The sequence below is a fragment of the Homo sapiens genome, chromosome 1, assembly GCF_000001405.40.
Source record: "Homo sapiens chromosome 1, GRCh38.p14 Primary Assembly".
Lineage (NCBI taxonomy): Eukaryota > Metazoa > Chordata > Mammalia > Primates > Hominidae > Homo > Homo sapiens.
The window spans coordinates 221,363,156-221,383,927 of record NC_000001.11 but is presented as its reverse complement, the minus strand read 5'-3'; the positions used below and the strand labels follow the sequence as shown (position 1 = coordinate 221,383,927).

Sequence of the window (20,772 nt, the reverse complement as noted above, 5' to 3'; positions counted from 1 at the left end):
TTTACAAGAAAAAAACAAACAACCCCATCAAAAAGTGGGTGAAGGATATGAACAGACACTTCTCAAAAGAAGATATTTATGCAGCCAACAGACACATGAAAAACTGCTCATCATCACTGGCCATCAGAGAAATGCAAATCAAAACCACAATGAGATACCATCTCACACCAGTTAGAATGGTGATCATTAAAAAGTCAGGAAACAACAGGTGCTGGAGAGGATGTGGAGAAATAGGAACACTTTTACACTGTTGGTGGGACTGTAAACTAGTTCAACCATTGTGGAAGTCAGTGTGGCAATTCCTCAGGGATCTAGAACTAGAAATGCCATTTGACCCAGCCATCCTATTACTGGGTATATACCCAAAGGATTATAAATCATGCTGCTATAAAGACACATGCACACGTATGTTTACTGCAGCACTATTCACAATAGCAAAGACTTGGAACCAACCCAAATGTCCATCAATGATAGACTGGATTAAGAAAATGTGGCACATACACACCATGGAATACTATGCAGCCATAAAAAATGATGAGTTCATGTCTTTGTAGGGACATGGATGAAGCTGGAAACCATCATTCTCAGCAAACTATCGTAAGGACAAAAAACCAAACACCACATATTCTCACTCATAGGTGGGAATTCAACAATGAGAACACATGGACACAGGAAGGGGAACATCACACACTGGGGCCTGTTGTAGGGTAGGGGGAGGGGGGAGGGATAGCATTAGGAGATATACCTAATGTAAATGACAAGTTAATGGGTGCAGCACACCAACATGGTACATGTATACATATGTAACAAACCTGCACGTTGTGCACATGTACCCTAAAACTTAAATTATAGTAAAAAAAAAATTACTCTCCAGAAAAAAAAAAAACAAGAAAAACAAACAAACAAAAACGTATCAATGTAGTAAGCTTATTGATGCATATTGTTAAAATGCTTTCCAGGGAAATTATACAAATCCCAGAAGACTATATGACATTGTCAGCAAGACTGTGTCATTACTAGCACTGGACATTTAGACAGGGGACTGCAAAGCTCTGAAGAAAGTTTCCCCTGGTTTGTAATTTTCTATAGGCTCAGTCTTCCAGCACCTATCATAGAGTTTCATTTAGAGATCCTGGAGGTAAGCAGAAGGATGTTGGCTAAATCTCAACAGGGAGACTTGGTGAATGGTAGGGTCAGTCAATACAAGGAGTCTACACAAAAGGACATGGACCCCTGAAATTTGTAGAAATATGTAGATCCTAAATGAAGCCAAATAGAAAGCAAAAATATGCAACTAATGAAGAATACAATCAATAAAAAGTAAGTCCCTGTACTTATTTGTTTTCCCCCAAATAGTTTGTTGTTTTACCTTAGGATGATTTGACTCACTCTACCAGGTTGTATTCAGCTGTTTTCCATCCACAAATTCTTCCCTAAATATGTGTCTCCTCTGAGCCTGGACTTTGAGGAGAAGTGATTAAGCAGTAGGATGAGAAATGGTCTTGGGAATGAAGGCCTTTAGTCACTGCTGAAGATTCTCTTTAATGTGCTAATGCTCCACAGATCCAGGCAAGATATAGAAAAGGCTAGAAATAAAGAGCTATCTTCACCGAAGCAAACATCTTTATTTATTTTGCCCTTGGCCACAAGACAAGTTTATTTAATAACTACATAATGTATTATCAAGTCTGAGATTAAGGACACCTGAAAACATCTCTTTTGCTTGTTCTTTGAATTAGCCAAGGGCGAATCAGGGATTTTGCCAAACAAGGCAATGGAAAAAAAAAATCATCTACTGGGAAATAATAAGGTTTGGATGAGTCAAATTAAAACCATCCACTGTCCTCATAAATGATTTAGAAAATGAAATAAAATAGTTACCACTGCTTTGAGCCATGACGTGCTTTCAGAAAATTTAGAAGGCAAAATGCCTTAATCTTTCACCAGGGGAATCAGAGAGTGCTGGAGAAAAAGCAAGAACCAGTAAGACCTTGAAGAGAAGCAGAGAATCACACACCACACTGGCAGGAGAAGATGAATGCAAGGTTCTCTGACCCATCCTCCTGTCTCCAGAAATAACCAACTTCATGTAAGATAGGGAGTTCCCAACTAGTACTAGCTGGGGCATAATCACCCTAGCAAAGCTCCACCATGGGATGATAACTCTTTCCCTAGATCGAGGCCAGAAAGGAGGTTTTTGATTGAGGACTGCAGGCTGTTTGTCGCTAGGGTGGCCACATTCCTTGGGTTGAATTGGGCAGACTGTTTTAACTTTCAGTCCAGTGAAAATATGAAAATAGGTCATGTAATTATTTAAAAAGATTTTTCTTATGTCCCCATTTCATGGCCAGGTGCTATGAGGTTAAACCTGAATATTTGTAAAACCTTGATGAGTGGAGGTAAGGACAAAAGAAGTATTCAAAAACTGCCAGGAAAAAAACGCACCCTCTGTGACACTGAAGGTAGAAATAGGAATTCTGTGTAGGGTAGCCTCTTTAGTTACTTCAGTGAGTCCTCTTGATCAATTACATTTTCATTATCCTTGGTATTGACACTGGGCTTCAATAAAGTAATCTAAATGCAAATTTTTCCCATGACTATGCTGTATTTTGTTTAACAATGTGCCACAGAGAGGGGAAGCGTTCTTTAGAACACTCACCCGCGATGCTAGCTGGAGGTCTGGTATTTTGGTAGAGCACATCTGGGAACCCCAGACCCCAAAATGGCAATAAACTGAAAGTCAGTGTTGATGGAGAAGTGGGGAGAAAAGAGAGGTTTGAATAAGCCCAGAGATCGAACTGGGACAAGGATCAAACAAAAGAAGTCAAAGAAAATAGAAGCAATCCCTGACAGCTCGGGAAATTTGACATCGTGGGATTTCTGGACTTTTTCTGTTTAATTGTATTAGATTTTCATCTGAGACAATTTGTGGGAACATGGCAATATCTCCTAACGCAGATGCCATTGGCTCAGAATGCATAATAATTGAAGACCAATGTAACGTTTAAAGATAGTACTTGGCAAATCTTTAGGATATCCTTTGTATTTAATTGGAATCCCACTGAAAGGCAGTAGTGCTTTGAAAATGGATTGCTTAAGAAATCAAGAATTCTTTCCATAGGATTTTGTAGGTTTCATGCAGCATAAGTTTATAGGAATAATGATGATTTCATTATTTTATTTTACTAATTAGTATCAATATTTGTATCTCCTCACCTAATGGTTACTAAACTAGAATAAGACTAGCTTTATTTTAAATACTTGTATGATACAGACTGTCCACTAAGTCATACCATTCCTTCTCCAGCTGTCACCTTGACCTCCAATGGCAATGACATTTGCAATTTCAAAACATTCTAAACATTAGTTTAAGAGTGTGCATTATGTCTTTGTTTCAAACTTGAATTTCAGTTGTATACTTCATGCAAATTCATATCTCTAATATCATCTAATTATTCATTAATCTCCCAGAAAATAATTTTGTCAAATTCCCTCAGATACACTTTTCAAATCTGAAAAGCCCTAACTAAACCATAGTCACTTTTACAGCAGCATGTGCATGTATAAGGTAGAGTGGTGAATAGTGGAGGATTTTAAACTGAACAGACCTGGGTCCCAGTCTCAGCTCTACCATTTACAGGACGTGGACCTTGGGGACTTAGCTGACATCTGTGTCTCAGTTTCTACATCAAAAACATGAAGATAATGATAGTACCCATCTCATAGGCTTGCTCTGAAGAAAAAATAAGAAAGCCAATGTAGCTGGTCAGTGGCTGGCACATAGTCAATCTTCCCAAAAAGTTTGTTATTATTTTCTCATTTTGCATTTTTCCATCAGAGGATTCTGCTGGTTATTACTTTGTATTCAGTGTTTCAGCCACAGTGATACCCACTCTGTTCCCCTCAGCTTTCTGGCCTCTAAAGGACATAATTGAAGATCTTTTAGACTTTGTTGGTGGGTTTTGTTTTCATGTTTTAAGCTCCTGGGTAGATGTTACCTGACCTCTGGTTCCACAAAGAATTCTATCCAGGATCTGGCCACGGTAGTGTAATAGAATAACTGGTTCATGGTACAGAAGAAACTGCTGTAGTTTGATGAAAATCCAAGGAACCTGGTTAAGTGAAGCTTCTGCCACTCATTAGCTTCTTGAGCTTCAGTCCTTCCACTGTAAATCGGAAATAACAATACATATATCTAGAGGTTATTAATGAGAAAATTTGTGTAAAAGTACAAAATGCTATAGAGATGTAGGTGTTTATTATTCCCTACATATAATTCCTTTATTTATTAACCAGGACAGCCTTTTGCTGGTTCTGTTGTATAATATTAATGTAATTATATAATAATACGTTACATATTTAGCTTATTATGTGTCAGACTCAGAAATCTGTTTGTCACATGTGCCCAGTCAATTATTCCTCTTTGCAAATGCAGTCCCCTTGACTCCATTCCCACTCACCACATGTGGACAAATTGCTCTCAATATTGTAGCACACAATTATCTCTCCCCAATCTCAGTTCTACCACAATGCACAATGTAGTACTTAAGGCTACATTGCTTCCTATTTTATTTCATTTGTTCTTCTTTCCCTGGTCCACATCTGCTATCTTCTAGTTCTTATTTATCACTTCCATTCTCTAAAATGATAATGTTTCAAGTATGCTTTTCTATTTATAAAAGTCATTTGTTAATTCCATGTTAAGAAGAGCTGGATTCCTGGCTTCTCATGGTTGGAGTTATCACTCAAACAAGCAACCCTACTCATCCTCCGATTCTGCCCAACTCCAGTGTATCCAGGTTACACTACACTTGTACTTGTTTGTATGCATCAACTTGCATACCTGTCTTTTCCAAGAGGTAAGGCTCATGTTTTCTCATTAGATTCTATGTGAGTCACCCAACACAGAGAAGGAACCATTGCCAAATGTAACTGAGCCATTGAGCTATTCTCCTCTCCTTGGAGAAGAGAGTTTTGTTTTTAGAAACAAAAATTGTGAAAGCCATTTAAATAAACCAAAAAGATTACTGAATGCCTTTTCAATAGAAAACTAAGTGTTGCTTTTGTACCCTTGCAGGTCACCTCATTCTGTAAAGGTCTGCACTTTTCATTGTCTTTGAGCTACTTTCAACTCTGTAAGTTTTAGAAAACTGATATTTATGCAAATTATTCTAATTCATAGAAATGCAAGTGAATTTTGCCCAATGGAGGTACAACTGATGTAGCCTTGGGCCTGTGTAATAAGCCAATTTTGCATCTATTACACAAATTAATTTCAGTATCACTGATTGCCTATGTATGTGTCTGCTCCTGGGAGTCTCCTTTAAACAAGTTTTTGAACACCTTACTATTTCCCTCAATCATAAGTTAAATAAAATCTTTGACACATGTTCACTTTATGATTGTATGAAGGTCAGGATTTACATTTTTTTTCAAAAATAAATCATCATTTAACTTTAGACTTTCTTCCCATAGGTTAGTAATCCTAAGATCCCCAGCCCATCTTCAGGAGGCTCACTCTGGACGTGGTAGAGTCTCTTTATGTTGCCCTAAGTTTTAAACTTAGTTGACCTGTTTCTAAATCAGTTCTGCAAAAGCACCATGGGTGGAATTTGATTCTGCCTTCTTGAAATCATCAAAACTTAGCTGAATTCTGAACTTGTCATCTTCACATTTCCATTTTTGTCAGCCTGAAATATTCAGATAAGCATGCTTACTGCTTCTTCCATTGTCTTATTATCAGTATTTTTATGTTATATGACTTAATTAATACATCTAGGGAGGCCCAGAGCATCCAGTTCTATGGGAAGGAATCAGAAACTGGACAAATTTCAGTGAGGGAATTCCAGTAGAGAGTGACTGGTAGGGGAAGAAGAAAATCAGAGCGGGCTGGCCTGAAATCCTTGGCCCAGAGGGTTCACTGGAGTTTTGGCAGCTGGGGCCTGAAAGTGAGTACTCTTTTATTCATATAATTATAAATAAAATTATATGCCTGTCTTTCCAAATGGTCTGTTAATACCCATGAGAGTAGAAACTAAATTAATCTAGTTCACTGTTATATCCTCAGCATTTAACTCAGGGCTAGAACATATTAAGTGTTCAGTAAAACTTTACTAAATTAATAAATGAATAAGTAAAAGAAAGAAACAATGAATCAGATAATACAGATGATGGGACAACCAGGAATATCAATTTCCTGGGCAATTCAAAGGCTAACCATGACTTTGTAATCTGAGAGTTTCTTGGCTGTAACAGTTACTAGCTCCGTAGTCCTGGACGAGTCCTTCTTTTGAGCACTCATTACTTTGTATGCAGATGGGGGGACTGAACAGTGGAATGTCATTAGAGGCTACACATGACTAGATCATGATTTACAATGGTCAGTGGAGAATCATGAATAGATGAAGTGGAAGAAAGAAGGGACATGGTTCCTTCAGTTGAGAGAGTTAGAGTGTCAGTCATTCCGTATAAAGAAAGTTCTGGAGAAGGGTAGTAGAGCTGGGAAACCCGATTGGATGAATTAACAAGTTGAGATCCAGCTACACAAAGTAACAGACTAGAAGTTGTCCCTGAAATAAGGAGTTATTTTTAATATAGGAGTGCACTATTTTCTACCTGTTCTTGCAGTCTTAAAAATGTTCCTCCCAATACTTGGCTGGGGAATTAAATCACCCTGAGCACTTTCAACAATGTCTTCTATAATATTAGCACTAAATTACCTATGTAATTTTATCACTCACTACGACACCTACTGCATGACTTAATCTAATTGAACTTTTCACTGTTCCCAAACCTGCCTTGCATTTAGCCACTCATATACTTTTATCTGGGTTGACTTTTTGCCTGGAATATCTTCCCACACTTCCTGACCTGTTCAGCTACAGTACCCAGACATATTCATCAGCTGTAATGAAAACCCTTTCATGATTCCTTTCATTAAATCAGTCCCAATGATATACCATCCCCCCTCATTTTATCTATGAGTCAGATACAGCGTTTGATGTTTATCTCAGGGTACTATACATTACCATTATGTACTTATGGATTCCCCCCTCCCTAAGACAGAAAAAGGTCTTTGAGGGCAATGACCACCTTACTCACTTTTCTATTCCATGAAGTGCTAAAGGCCATTTTCTTATAATAGGAGGCTTTCAATAAAACCATCTCCAGTAAATGAATGGATTAATGAACAAATGGACATATCCAAACCATTTGCTGTAATTATCTACACCAGATGTTAAGGAGCAAATTTAGACCGTTACTAGAATTTCACAGATTGAAACAAACTTCAAAGTCCTTTTCTGAGGAAATTTATGCTCAAGATCCAGACTTTCTTGTTCCTGGGAGTTCAGCCATCTAGAGCTTCCTTAACATTTCCCCTTTTCTCTGTTTTACTGCTGCTAGTAAACATGCAACTCTTCAAAGACCTCGCATAGAGTCTTCAAGAGCTGTCCTCCTTACTGACCCTTACAGGCAAGGCTGCTGTACAGAGAATGTTCCAAAGGCATTGCACGCTCTGCTAACACCAGCGCCACATGTTCTGCACTGATGGATGGTGGCTTATAAAGTGCTGTAAAGAATTTTGGAAGGATAATATGAGAACCTTAAAGACGGGTTTTGTTTTTCAGGTCATATGATGAATTAATGAGGTTATTTCTCAGTAAGTTTATTTTTTTCAATAAGGTTATTTTAAAGGATTAAAATATTTAAAATAAAGAAGACAAACTATTTGCTTCTCCCCCTCAAAATAAAATGCTTTCAGTTGCTTTTTACGTCACTTTTAATTATAGTTGTGATTAGGACATGGAGGAGCGCCTGAACACTGAGAGGCCCTGTTACTGTGTAAGAGTGTACATGTGCTAACAGCATGCTGATAAAGTCAAGGAAATCTCCATAATTACTACAAATCAGGGTCCCACTAGCAATAGGACCACATCTTCAATTTTATTATCACATTTTTCCTTACTGACTTATAAATTGTCTACACCACAGGGGAGTTGTTTGCTTATATTTTTATTTGGTCTGCTTTGAACAATAGCCAGACTCGTGCTACGTCATACACTATTATGTCTGTTAGAGCTGCCACCTTAGCAAAATATGTCACCAAGAGTGTTTAGAAATGCAGGCAACATGTACAGGTGCCAAAATCTACTTGGAAAAGCCATCTACCTTCTTCTGCAGGGGTCTGACCTCCACTGCAGCCTCTTAGCAACACTCTCTCCTCTTCGTTCTATACCTAACTAGGGCAAATGTGTTGGCTCTCTGGTTTTTCAGGAGCCATGCCATGCAAGAAATAACCAATATGCAGGCTGCTGCAAGCTGTCTTCCTGATTTAGAAGACTCAGGGGGAAAACAAAAGCCATCTATAAAGGCCTTTTAATTTCTAGCATAAGCTTCAGCTTGAGTTGTAAAGTGTATCTCATTGGTCATCTTGGATCTGAAGTCCATTCCATTCCCTAAATTCATCAGTGTGTAACTGCCACAGCTGCTAGGACTTTGGCACCTGCAGGGTACCCCTGAGAGGGTCTCTGCAAGCAGACAAATTTATAGGCAGTAAGCCTAATGGCCAAAATTTCAAGATTTGTTTTTCAAATAAGTGCATGTTAAGTGGAAAAAAAATTTTACAATAACAATGAGCCAGAGAAAGTTTCATTGGCTAAGAGGAGCCTTATGAAAAATCTATCATACAACCTCTGATTTAGAAATGTAAAGAGAAACAGATTTACCCAGATTTTAAAAAGAGGGAGAAAGAATGAAATTTTTAATGAGTGTCATATCCATGTTCAAATCAAGGACTCCTTCCGCTGTAATGATTATTTCAAATGAAGGAACATTTCTTAATTTAGAGGCTAATCCTCAGACATTGCTTTGGAGGGAAGAACATTTCTTGGGTTTAGGTCACTTTGCTTTAAATCTCTGAGGACCATAAAACCAAGTGAAGGCAAGACTGGGCTAGAAATCAGCAGAGTTGAGTTCTGATCCACCTTCTGTTGATACTTTGCTTTGAGGTCCTCAATTTCTACTCTTCAGGCTACATTTGTCACTTGGGCAGGTGGTAGGTTGGTAGCCAGACCACAGATTGGTGCCAAGATCTGAGCTCTGTAGAGATGGGCATCCCAGCCATGGCTGTTGGCACAGAAGGAAGTGGGAGGGCCTACTACTCTAGACCACGCAAAGCACCCTCCCAATGTAGTCATTGAAAGCAGCACATAGGATGTCTTTGAGCGGTTCCTTCCAATAGTTTCCAAGGGTAAGAGGCCACCGTGCTCTTCTCCCTCTCCTCTACCCAAGTGTAAATGGCTGCTTATTTCACACACAAAAGCCCTCAAGGACAAATTTTACTGAAAAAAGTCAATAGGACCTGAAGATTTTTTTTTGTCTTGAAAATTTTATGTTAAAACGTCAGAATACATTATGGTGTCAAATGGAAATCCTAGCTGCATTTCTGTGAGAAAGCAGAATGTTGCAAAAACTTTTAGGTCTTACCTAGACCCTAGACCTAGATGCAAACCTAGGTTTCAAAGCTTGTTAAGTTCCACGTATATATTGCAAAATGCCAAGTAAACAATTATTAGCATCTCTAAATTCTTCACTGCATTCTTCATACAAATTCATATTTATATCTTTAATAAGCGAAAGATGTTCTAAGTTGCATGCCATGGAAGCATATTGCCATGCACTTTTTAGTTTGAGGCTATGCAGAATAGTGAAGAAAAGCAGGATAAAAAAACACAAGGAAACTGGAATCATGGTATCTGCTCTGCTATATCCAGCCAGGTCACCTTGAGCAAGTTTCTTAACCCCTTTAACCTCAGTTTCTTCATCTCTAAAGTGGCTTTATGTCCCTACTTATCTTGGAGGTTAAAGAAGATAATATAGGGTATCATGAAACACATATTACACATCCTATATGGAATTCTATAATAATGCCGACTCATCTTTTATACCCAGAATCTCTCTGAAAAGGCAGATTTAGTGAAAGATTCATTTCATGATTGAGTCTTGATCATTTTCATTGTGAAATAATGCACACAGAGCCATTCATTAGTGAACTCCTATGCCAGGTTTCTAGACATGCAACCTCTAAGTGATAAGCTTTTAATGAGCTCATTCTCATGTTTTTCTTAGTGCTTTATTACAGCAATATCCCCTCTCTTGTGGGTCCTCTTTCCTACCTCCAGTCTCCATCAGCCCCACAGAGGTCCCCATCTCTGAGCTGGTCATTCCTCAAGAGGCACAGGCCAGGTGTTTCGTTGGTGCTCTGCTTCTGCACCCTATGATGGGGTACAATGGCTAGCATCCCAGGGGATGTAGCTCAACTCAACCTAAAGTCAAGTCTAAAAGCTGTTGAAGTATCCTGTTTTATCACTGAAATGCAGGTAAGTTCTCCATGTGACTCCATAATATATCCTCATGTTTCAAAACATTATTTCAAAATGGAAAAAAAAAAACTTTGAGTAACATTGACTTTTTTTCAGTAAAATGAACCATATTTATGCTGTAGCTAACTTTTCCCTTCCTCCAACACATTTCTCACAACCTGAGAGTATCTTTCTTAAGAATTTATTCCCAAAATGTCCTTGCAGTTCCATAAGAACTTTTCAAGCTAAAATTCTAGGAAATGGTAAGGTAAGGAAAGGAGCAGCATATGTCAAAAGGGAAAATCCTTTTGACAACTTCAGACGACCTCTGACCAACTGAGCCCAGTCGCCATGCAGCTTGGCCCACAGACTCAGTCCAGCCACCTTGGGAGGATCTGCAGGCAGCTGTCCATTTTCCCCTGGCTATGAAGGAATAATTAATCCAGAACTTAGCATTCCATCTCTGAAATGTGGTTGTCCATCGAAAGATATGTTTCTGGTGTGGCTCTGCTCACTGATATGGGAGGAGGGCAGGGAAGTGCTGGGTAGAGAGGGGCAGGGTCCCTGGTGAGGGCTCCACCCTCGGGCCTGTGCCCACAGACCTAGGGGAGGACAGGACAGGCACTCCTGTTTTCACGCCCAAATGTTGCATTTTCCAAGACCACTCTGGCCCGCCATGCCCCCAATCCTGTGCCTATAAAAACCCTGAGACCCTAGTGGGCACATACACAAGCAGCTGGATGTTGAGAGGAACAGTGGAGCAGATGAGCACACTGACAGACACCAGCAGATGCCGGCAGGCCGTAAGCAACGGGGCGACATGAAATTCAGTCAGGGGCAGTTGGAGGAGAGTCTGGATGTTAGGCGGCCTGACTCCAGGGGAAGACCAACTGCCTACTCTGTCCCCCTTCTGGCCTCCCTTTCACCTGGCTGAGGGCTACCTCCACTCAATAAAACCTTGCACCTATCCTCCAAGCCCACATGTGATCTGATTTTTCTGGTACACCAAGGCAAGAAACTGGGATGGAGAAAGCCCTCTGCCTTTGCGATAAGGCAGAGGGTCTAATTGAGCTGATTAACACAAGCCACCTGCAGACAGCTGAACTGAAAGAGCACACAGTAACACATGTCCACTGGGGCTTTGGGAGCTGTAGACACTCAACCCTAGATGCTGCCTTGAGGACGGAGCCCACATTCCCCACAATTGGTCTGCCCGTCTGCATGATCCCCCTAGGGGTTTGAGCTGTGGGGCACCAAAGAAGCAAGCCACACTCCCATGGCACGCCCTGCAAGGGGGATTAGGGAATTTTTCCCATTTCAACAGTTGAGATTCCTGCATGAAACCCCAGCCTTTGCACAACGAATTCCTCTATTCTTCAGGTAGATACTGTAGGCTCACTAAATACACTATTGGTTAGAAGAGGGCCAAGACAGAAAGTGCTAAGGGCTGAGCCCTGCCTATTGCCATGGCAGAAAAATAGCATAATGTCCAACTGATGAGGGGTCACTTGTAGCCTCCTCACATTGAAAAAAAAAATACACCACATGTGCAATGTGAAGGCAGGCCTCCATCTCCCACTGAGGTACTGCAGACAGTGTCTGCCTGCACAATCCATCTCCAGGGAATGTGAGAGGGAGGCGGAGCAGAATGGGTAATGTGAAACATAAAAAAGTACAGCTGAGACAAAGAGTTGCAATTGCAAATGGCCCTTAACCAACACCAGGCCTCATCTGCTGTTAGTGTTTGAAGTCTGTAGACAGAGGCCTGTGCCATTCCCCACTAATTTCTCATGCTGGAGCTCATCAGCAGTGGAATGCAGAAAGACTAAGCCTCTGGCTCGGGTCTGCTGTCAAGGACGAAAATCAGGTCCCTGGGAAGGGGCCATGAATGCTCTGGGTGACCCAGCTGTCTCCCGGAACAAGAGATTCAAGAGATGATCAACAGTGGTGCCCACTCAGAAAAGGGCTGTGACTGCTTTGCTAGCCTGATAAAGGAAATGCACCTCAAGAGATGAAAAGGGAAAATAGTACATTACAGAGGAGGAACAATGAGGAGTTATAGCAGCAACTTCTCAGGGATAACCTCAGAGCTCAGAAGTAAAGGGGGGTTATTTGGGTCAACTGGGAGAAGCATGTAAGCTTGGTGTGAGATGGTACATTTGGTACATTCTTATCTTCCTTGTAGAGGCATCTGCATGCAGCCTGGTGTTTTCACAAAACAAAGGGCACTCTCCCGGGAAGGGGCCATCAGTCTGAACTCTGTCCTCCGTTGGTCAGATCATACCACCACCTGAAGTCCCTGATTCAGGTCATCCTGAAGTTACTGCTAATTAATATTACTATTTGGCTAAGGTTGGACCTGAGCTGGACCAATCCACCAAACCACAGATGCTCCTCAATCTCTTCTGCATGAAGTCTCGGGATCTCAGGAGCTACCCTTATTATTCATTCTTCAAGAACTCTCCGGTGTTTAGTACAATGTTATGGCACATTTAGATTTTCTTCTTGATGTGTTAACTACAGATTTACAAAGGATTTTCCTGTGTTCAGAATCAGAAAAAGAAATAACTAGGCAAATCTAGCAAAAATGTATGTGATATTTATTTCAAACCATCTAAACTTTACTTAAACCATCTGAATTATCAAATAAAATTGGGGATGAGAGTCCTTAATTTTTACCCATTATTTTATTCATTCAACATGTATTTCTTGAGCACCTACTATATGTCAATTCTGTTCTAGTTACATATCAATGCATGATTAGAAGCATATTTGTGTAAAGTGGTATGTTTCACAACAAGCAGCATCTCAGCTCATTTGTTATGAGCAATTCCCTACAAGTAATTTAGTATATTTGTATGTTCCAGACAACCCCACATCTCCTAAAGATAATTTAACAAATAATACATTTATTTCTAGGAATTGTGTCTACACTATTAATTAGTGACTTATTGTCCAGACAAGATGGTATAGGCTTGTCTCCTCTCCACTAAGTATAATTATCAACCTTGGAAATAATTTAAGAGGTGACCAAAAAAGAACCCTAAAAAGTAGAAATAGGAATTCAAACTGCTTAGGGATCCCAGTTCTGGAGGAATACACAGTGGCAGTACCTCCAACAAACCCACTTAGCAGAAGGTTACCCAGATTCCATGCTTCCTCATCCCCAACCTAGCAACAGAAGGTGGCTCAGGTAGACTTATTCATTTTCCATACTGAATGAGAATCCTGCCAACAATATAGGGCAAGCCTGGCAGCACTGTCAGGGGGATGGATCAGGAGCCTTACTGACAATAAGTGGCCTCAAGAAGCATTCTCCTCCTCTACTCAGAAACACCAAGCAGTAGGTAGAAGTAGAAGGAAAGGAGGAAGGTCAACAGCAAGGGAAATTCTGCCACAAGTGGCCTTGCCCAGGTAGCTTCTTCGTCCCCATAAGACTGAGGGGCCCCTATCCTCCTCCACCTAAAGACACCACGTGGTTAAGCAACTGTCAAGGTGGATCCAGCCACGACATGCACTCTGCATAAAAAAAACTCTATTTCACTGCTGGGCCTGAAAATATCCTCACCACTACGAGATACTAGACAGCCAGGGAGGACCTGCAAGGGGGATTCAGCTACAACATGTGGACAGGCCAAAAAGCTCCTTGGTCTCCCTATCTCCCTAGGCTTACAACTTGCCTCTCTTACTTAGAGACACCAGGTAGCCAGGCAGCACTATGAAGAGAAGTTTTCAGCAGAACGAATGGCCTAGACTGGGAAGCCTATTTCTCCCAGTGGGACTGATACTCCCTTCCCCACCTAGATTCAGGCAGCCTAGGATCCTTGCACCTCCTGAGCAAGGACCAATAGGAGTCTCACCTGCACCATATACACCAAGCAGAACAAAGTAGCATACCAAAAGTTCTAAAAAGAAATTTGTCATTGGAACCACAGCTCATGATAAAAGGCCAGGTTCTGCTGAACCTGAACAAGGAAACAGCCTGCTAAAATAAAAGATTTAAATAAGATCCAGAATTTCCTAACATTATAGCCAAAATGTTCAAGATACAATGGAAAATCACATGCTAAAATAAGAACCAGAAATATCACAACCTGAGTGTCAAAACACAATCAAATGATGCCAACACCAAGATGATAGAAATGTTAAAATTATCTGACAAGGACTTTAAAACAACCATTATAAAAATGCTTCAAAAAAATGAGGAATCAAAAAAATCATATTAAAAAAAGTTGAAAAATCCAAAACCACATGAAGATTATAGAACTAAAATACAGAATCATAGAAATTTTAATATTTGCCAGATGTATTCAATAGTAGAGTTGAGATGACAGAGGATAGAATTGGAGAACTTGAATATAGATCAATTTAATTTACCCAGTTTGAACAATAGAGAGAAAAAAGACTGGAAAAAAGGTGAATAGATCTTCAGGGACCTGTACAATAATAAAGTTCCAACAGTGGATATCCCAGAAGGTGAAGAGAAAGAGAATGGGCAGAAAGAGTATTTGAAGAAATAATATCTGAAAACTTGCCAAATTTGGTGAAAGACATAAATTTAAGAATCTGAACAAATTCAAAATAGGATAAACCCGAAGAAATTCACAACCAGAGATATAATAATTAAAGTTCTGGAAAGTAAATGCCAAGAGGAAAGTATTGAGATCATTTGGAAAGAAACAGTGTATTACCTAGAGGGAGAAAATAATTCAACGACAACAAATTTCTTCTCTGAAACCACAGAAGCCAAAAAAAGTGGAACCTTTTCCAAGTGATGAAAGAAAAGAACTGTCAACCACAAATTCTATGTTTAGAGAAACTATCTTGTAGGACTGAAGGGGCAATAAAGACATTTTCAGGAGATGGAAAACTAAAGGAGTTTGTCACTAGCTGACCTACCTTTAAATAATGGCTAAAGAAAGTTTTTCTTCTAACAGAAAGTAGGAATCTTGGTGAGTCATGATTGAAAAACAATGAAAAGAGCAGAAATATGAGTACATACCATGAAATTCTATAAAGCATACTTGACTGAAACAAAAAATGTAATACCACCTGATATTCAAGGCAATCACATTTTAAAGTGATAATATAAAGGAACATAAATGAAAGTAGGTTCCAAATTTTATTTGAAGTAAAAAAAAAAAGCTGGTATCAGTCGACTGTGACAAGTTGCATATGTATATTATAATAAATATAGCACTAAGAAAACTATAGAAAAAGAAACACATAAAAATACTAAAGAAATTAATATGGAATCCTGGAAAATATTCAAGTAGTCCATGAGAAGGCAAGAAAAGATAAACAGAAGGGCAAGAAATAGTGGAAACAAAGAGAAAACAAATAATAAAGTGACAGACTAAAATCAAACATATCAATAACTACCTTAAATGTAGATAGTCTAAATAGGTCAATTAAAAGGCAGAAATTGGCTACGTGAATTGAAATAAAGGACCCAATTATATGCTGTTTACAAGAAACTGACTTTAAATTTAACAATATAGATTGAATGTAAAAAAATTTTTATAACTAAACAGATATTAATCATATAAAAGCAGGAATTGCCTCATTAATATCAAAATATGATAAAGTTTACTTCAGAGAAAAGATTACTAGAAACACAGAGGAACATTATGTAATAATAAAAGAATCAATTCTTCAGGAAGAAAAAACTATCCAAGTATGTATGCATCAAACAATGGAGTGTCAAAATACATAAAGCAGATTCTGACAAAGCTGAAAGAAGAAAGAGACCAATCCATACTTATAATTGGGGACTTCAAAATTCACCTCTCAGCAACTGATAGAACTACTGGAGAAAAAATCAATAAGGATATAAAAGATTTTAACAGTACAATCAAGCAAGAGGATCGAATTCACATATATGAACCCTAACAACAGCAGAATACATCTTTTTTTTTCAAGTGAGTATTGTATATTCACAAAGATAAGCCATATCCTGGGCCGTAACATGAACCACAAATATTTTTAAAGAATTGAAACCATTTGAAATGTTTTCTCAGAACATAATGGAATAAAACTAAATGTTAGTAAGAGAAAGATAGCAGGAAAATCTCCAAATTTAAGATAAAATCCCAAAATAATAACTTAAGTGCCATTCTCAAAAAATTGAAAAAAGAGGCCACCAAAATAAATCAAAAGCAAGCAAAAAGAATAAAAACAGAAATTAATTTTAGATTTAAAATAGAAAAATAGGGGAAATCAATGAAACAAAAACTTGCTTTTCAAAAAGACCAATAAAATTGACAAATTTCTGGCAAAACTGATGAAAGAGAGGAAGAGAGGGAGAAAGAAAGGAAGATAGAGCTATGTTAACTAAAAAATGATTGACAAAAGGTCAAAAGAAATAGCATTTATTTCGCAAACAAAGAACTGCTATCTGGGTGCACTGAATCAGGGCAGCCCTAAGTAATGTCCCATAGGCAAGCACTGGAGCATTTTTTAATAGAGAATTTCCACACACATAAAAATTGGTCTTGGAGGCAGTTCATCTGATGGTCAGAAATACTAAATCACAAACCTATTCTGATGGGTTAATGAATTAGCATATTTCCAGCTGAGAGATATTGAAGGCCTGGGAATACTGACCTCAGCTGTTTACCAAGTCTGTTGGAAATTCTGTGGTTTGATGTTTAGCAGGTGTGAGTGCAATCCTTTCACAATCTCCTGATTCCACTTTAGAAAGCCTTGACCTTAGTTATTTCATTTTCTTTTACATTTCCCTCTATTGACAAAGATCTTTCTCCAGAAAGCAGATTAATTAGCAAGTCTAATTTTGTCCCTCATCACTGGGATGGATCTGTCCCAGGGATTCACGTCCCTCACTACGGGATCTTAAGGTCTAACAGATTGTAAGGCTAGACTGAGCCGTATTTGGTAACACAGAAGTTTTGCAAGGGGATTTCTAAAGCCTGCTTAGGTCCTGAAAAGTTTGTCAGATTGGATGTCTTTTCTAAATCATGGGCTTGACTGACCATGCTGAGCTTCTAAGCAACTGTAACTTTGGTAAAACTTTTATTTCTAAGTAAACTTGGGTAAGGAGTTACAGACATATCTTAAATATTACAATAGCAATAATAATCCTAATAGTGAGTAATAAAAGTTGAAGACTGGATTTTAGCAACATTTTGAGAGGGTGGTCAGCTGAAGAGATAAAAAAGCCAGCATTTTAACAATAAGCACTCTATTTAGATAATTAGCAAATGTGTGGATTTTTACAACCTGGTCTCTAATTTTGAAAAGTATTTATCCAAGTGTAACAGGAGGTATTGACTACAATGTAAACACCTCCTTGCTCAGCTAAGATATAATTCAAGAAAACTCTGTTGTGCAAGGGAGTAGAAGGTGTAAAACAAGACTATAGCAAAAGCAACATGTAAGAGACCAAGTATGTCAGGGATCCTAATCGTATACTGGCCTAGTCCAGAGGTCTTGTGTGAGAAGTCAACTTCGGCTATCATTTGCTTCACTTCAGGGTCAGTTTTAGCTTTTAGTCTTCGAGTGATTCTAAATTCCAGAAAAGAATAGGAGCTTTCCTTAAATAAGAAACATGAAGAGTCAACACCTTTCAGTTTGGCAGCACAGGGGTTGATAAAGAATACGTGATATAAGCCTTTTCATCAAGATAGAAATTCTTTTATAAATGCCTCTTTCAATAGACATCATGTGGCTGAAGACTGTGATGTTTGATGATGTCTTCATCTCCTGGGAGAGCAGTATGGAAAGATTGTTCTACTGAGGTATGATTTTGCCTACAGCCTGAATTTATTCCTTTACAATACTGGAGAATGTCTCCTTTAATCAATTAAATATCAAATGCAGAGAAAGCTAAATGCTAGATACTAGACCTTTGTCAGATGCATAGTTTACAAATATTTTCTCCCACTCTGTAGGTTGTCTGTTTACTCTGTTGATTGTTATTTGCTAAGTTTGATTAGATCCCATTTGTCAATTTTTGCTTCTGTTGCAATTGTTTTTGGCATCTTCATGAGGACTAAGCTCTGATTTTTTTATCTTGCCCAAATTCCTATCTAAGGGGTCTGGGGAGTCATGCCCTACAAAACATAAATTCTCATCAGATGGGTTTTATTTAACTCTACATATCGTTACTTACTTTCCAATCTGACTCTGGCATAGCATTATGTGACAAGAAAGAAAATAAAAATATTTTACCCTGAAACATGTTTCTCTGCCATATCTTGAAATGGCCCTGCAAAGCCATCCTTTGTGGGGGAAAATCTCCATCTGTAAAGAATCTCTATTAACATAGCTAGATCTTTTTCTTCCAGGCCCTCCCAATCCTGAAGAGATTAATTAAAAGTCTGGCACCTTTTAAAGATCTGAATAGGAAACATTTGTCATCTGTTGTCTCTAAGAGCAGCCACTTTAAGACTTCAAAAGAACCTTGGTCTCCACAATTTTTATCTTAACCTGAACACTTCCTTTCTATCAATCACAGATCTTTAGACAAACTCAGCCGTCAACCAGAAAATGTTTAAATTTACCTTTAGCCTGGAAGCCCCCCACCCCACTCCCCTTCACCCCCTACTTTGAGTTGTCCTGCCTTTCTGAGCCAAACCAATGTATATCTTAAATATATTTGATGTCTCATGCTTTCCTAAAATATATAAAACCAAGCTGTACCCTGATCACCCTTGGGCACACATTCTCAGGACCTCCTGAGTGAGGGCTGTGTCACGGGCCATGGTCACTTATATTTGGCTCAGAATAAATTCCTTCGAATATTTTACAGAGTTTGACTCTCTTCGTTGACACTCATCATAAAATCTTTGCCAGTTTCTATGTTCAGAATGGTATGTCTTAGGTTGTCTTCCAGGGATTTGTGATTTCAGGTTTTACATTTAATTCTTAAATTCATCTTAAGTTTATTTTTGTATATGGTGTAAGGAAGGAATCCAGTTTCAATCTTTTGCATATGGCTAACCAGTTATCCCAGCATCATTTATTAAATAGAAAGTCCTTTCCACATTGCTTGTTTTTGTCAACTTTTTCGAAGATCAGATGGTTGTAGATCAGAAGGTTGAAGATCAGATTGGTCTATGTGTCTGTTTTTGTACTAGTACCATGTCATTTTAGTTATTGTAGCCCTGTAGTATAGTTTGCAGTTGGGTAGCATGATGCCTCCAGCTTCATTCTTTTTGCTTAGGATTGCCTTGGCTATTCGGGTTCTTTTTGGGTTTCATAATATGAATTTTAAAATAGTTTTTTTTTTTTTTTTTTTAGTTCTGTGAAGAATGTCATTGTTAGTTTGATAAGAATAGCATTGAATCTGTAAATTGCTTTGGGCAGTGTTGCTGTTTTGATGATATTGAGTCTTCCTATACATGAGCATGAAATGTTTTTCCATTTGTTTGTGTCATCTCTGATTTCCTTGAGCAGTGCTTTGTAATCCTCTTTGTAGAGATATTTCACCTCCCTGGTTAGCTGCATCCCTAGGTATTTTCTTCTTTTTGTGGCAATTGTTAATGGAATTGTGTTCTCAGTTTGGCTCTTGGTTTTGCTGCTATTAGTTTACAGGAAAGCTACTAATGTTTGTACACCAGTTTTATATCCTGAAACTTTGCAGAAGTTGTTTATCAGCTTAAGGAGCTTTGGGGCCAAGACTATGAGGTTTTCTAAATATAGAATTGTATCATCTGCAAATAGGGATAGTTTGACTTCCTCTCTTCCTATTTGGAACTTCAACAAATATATAAGAAACAAACAAACAACCCCATTAAAAAGTGGGCAAAGAATATAAACATTTTTCAAAAGAAGACATACATGTGGACAATAAGTACATGAGAAAAAGTTCAAGACAGCTACTTCTGCTGTGTGATCAGTCAAGTTGTTTTCTTAGCCTTATCAGATTCCAATTTTGAGTGCCCAGAAATTTTGATTATGGTAAAGGCAGAGAGAAGTTAAATTGAATTGAATAAATTATTGACAAAAGTTTCTTTTTCAATTTGATTTTCCCTGGAGGTTAAAATCCTATTTATTTCCAAAGCATACTAAAATCATCAACAACCTAAAGGCATAAAAGCTATTGGTGTAAATATCTGCAATTTTACCTTTCACCAGAATACAAGACCTGGTTAAGTCATAAAATTCTGCTGTTGAACCAAAGTAGTCTTTGGTAGTGGAGCTGCTTCAACTACTTCCAAAACGGTGGCAATAGCATACTCAGCATGATATTTTCTGTCATACATGATCCATTAGTAAATAATGAAACTTCTGCATCTGTTATAGGGATTTCCTGTAAATCATCTGTAGGTTTTGGTAACTGATAAGTTAGATTTAGATAGTCATGAGGTGACTCATCATCAAGTAGAGGAAGGATAGTTGCTGGATTAAGATTATTGCAGTGGGCAAAATAATAAGAGAAGTCAACAGC

General features: G+C 38.4%; 1 long non-coding RNA gene across 1 annotated transcript in view; it reads right to left on the bottom strand.

The window, feature by feature from the left end:
• Window positions 1–20,772, bottom strand: part of LOC105372932 (uncharacterized) — a 166,214-nt gene that overhangs the window by 86,290 nt on the left and 59,152 nt on the right. Inside the window, exon 3 of the long non-coding RNA XR_922621.2 lies at window positions 3,999–4,166. This is a non-coding gene — a long non-coding RNA (uncharacterized LOC105372932). The remainder of the gene's footprint in view (window positions 1–3,998; window positions 4,167–20,772) is intronic.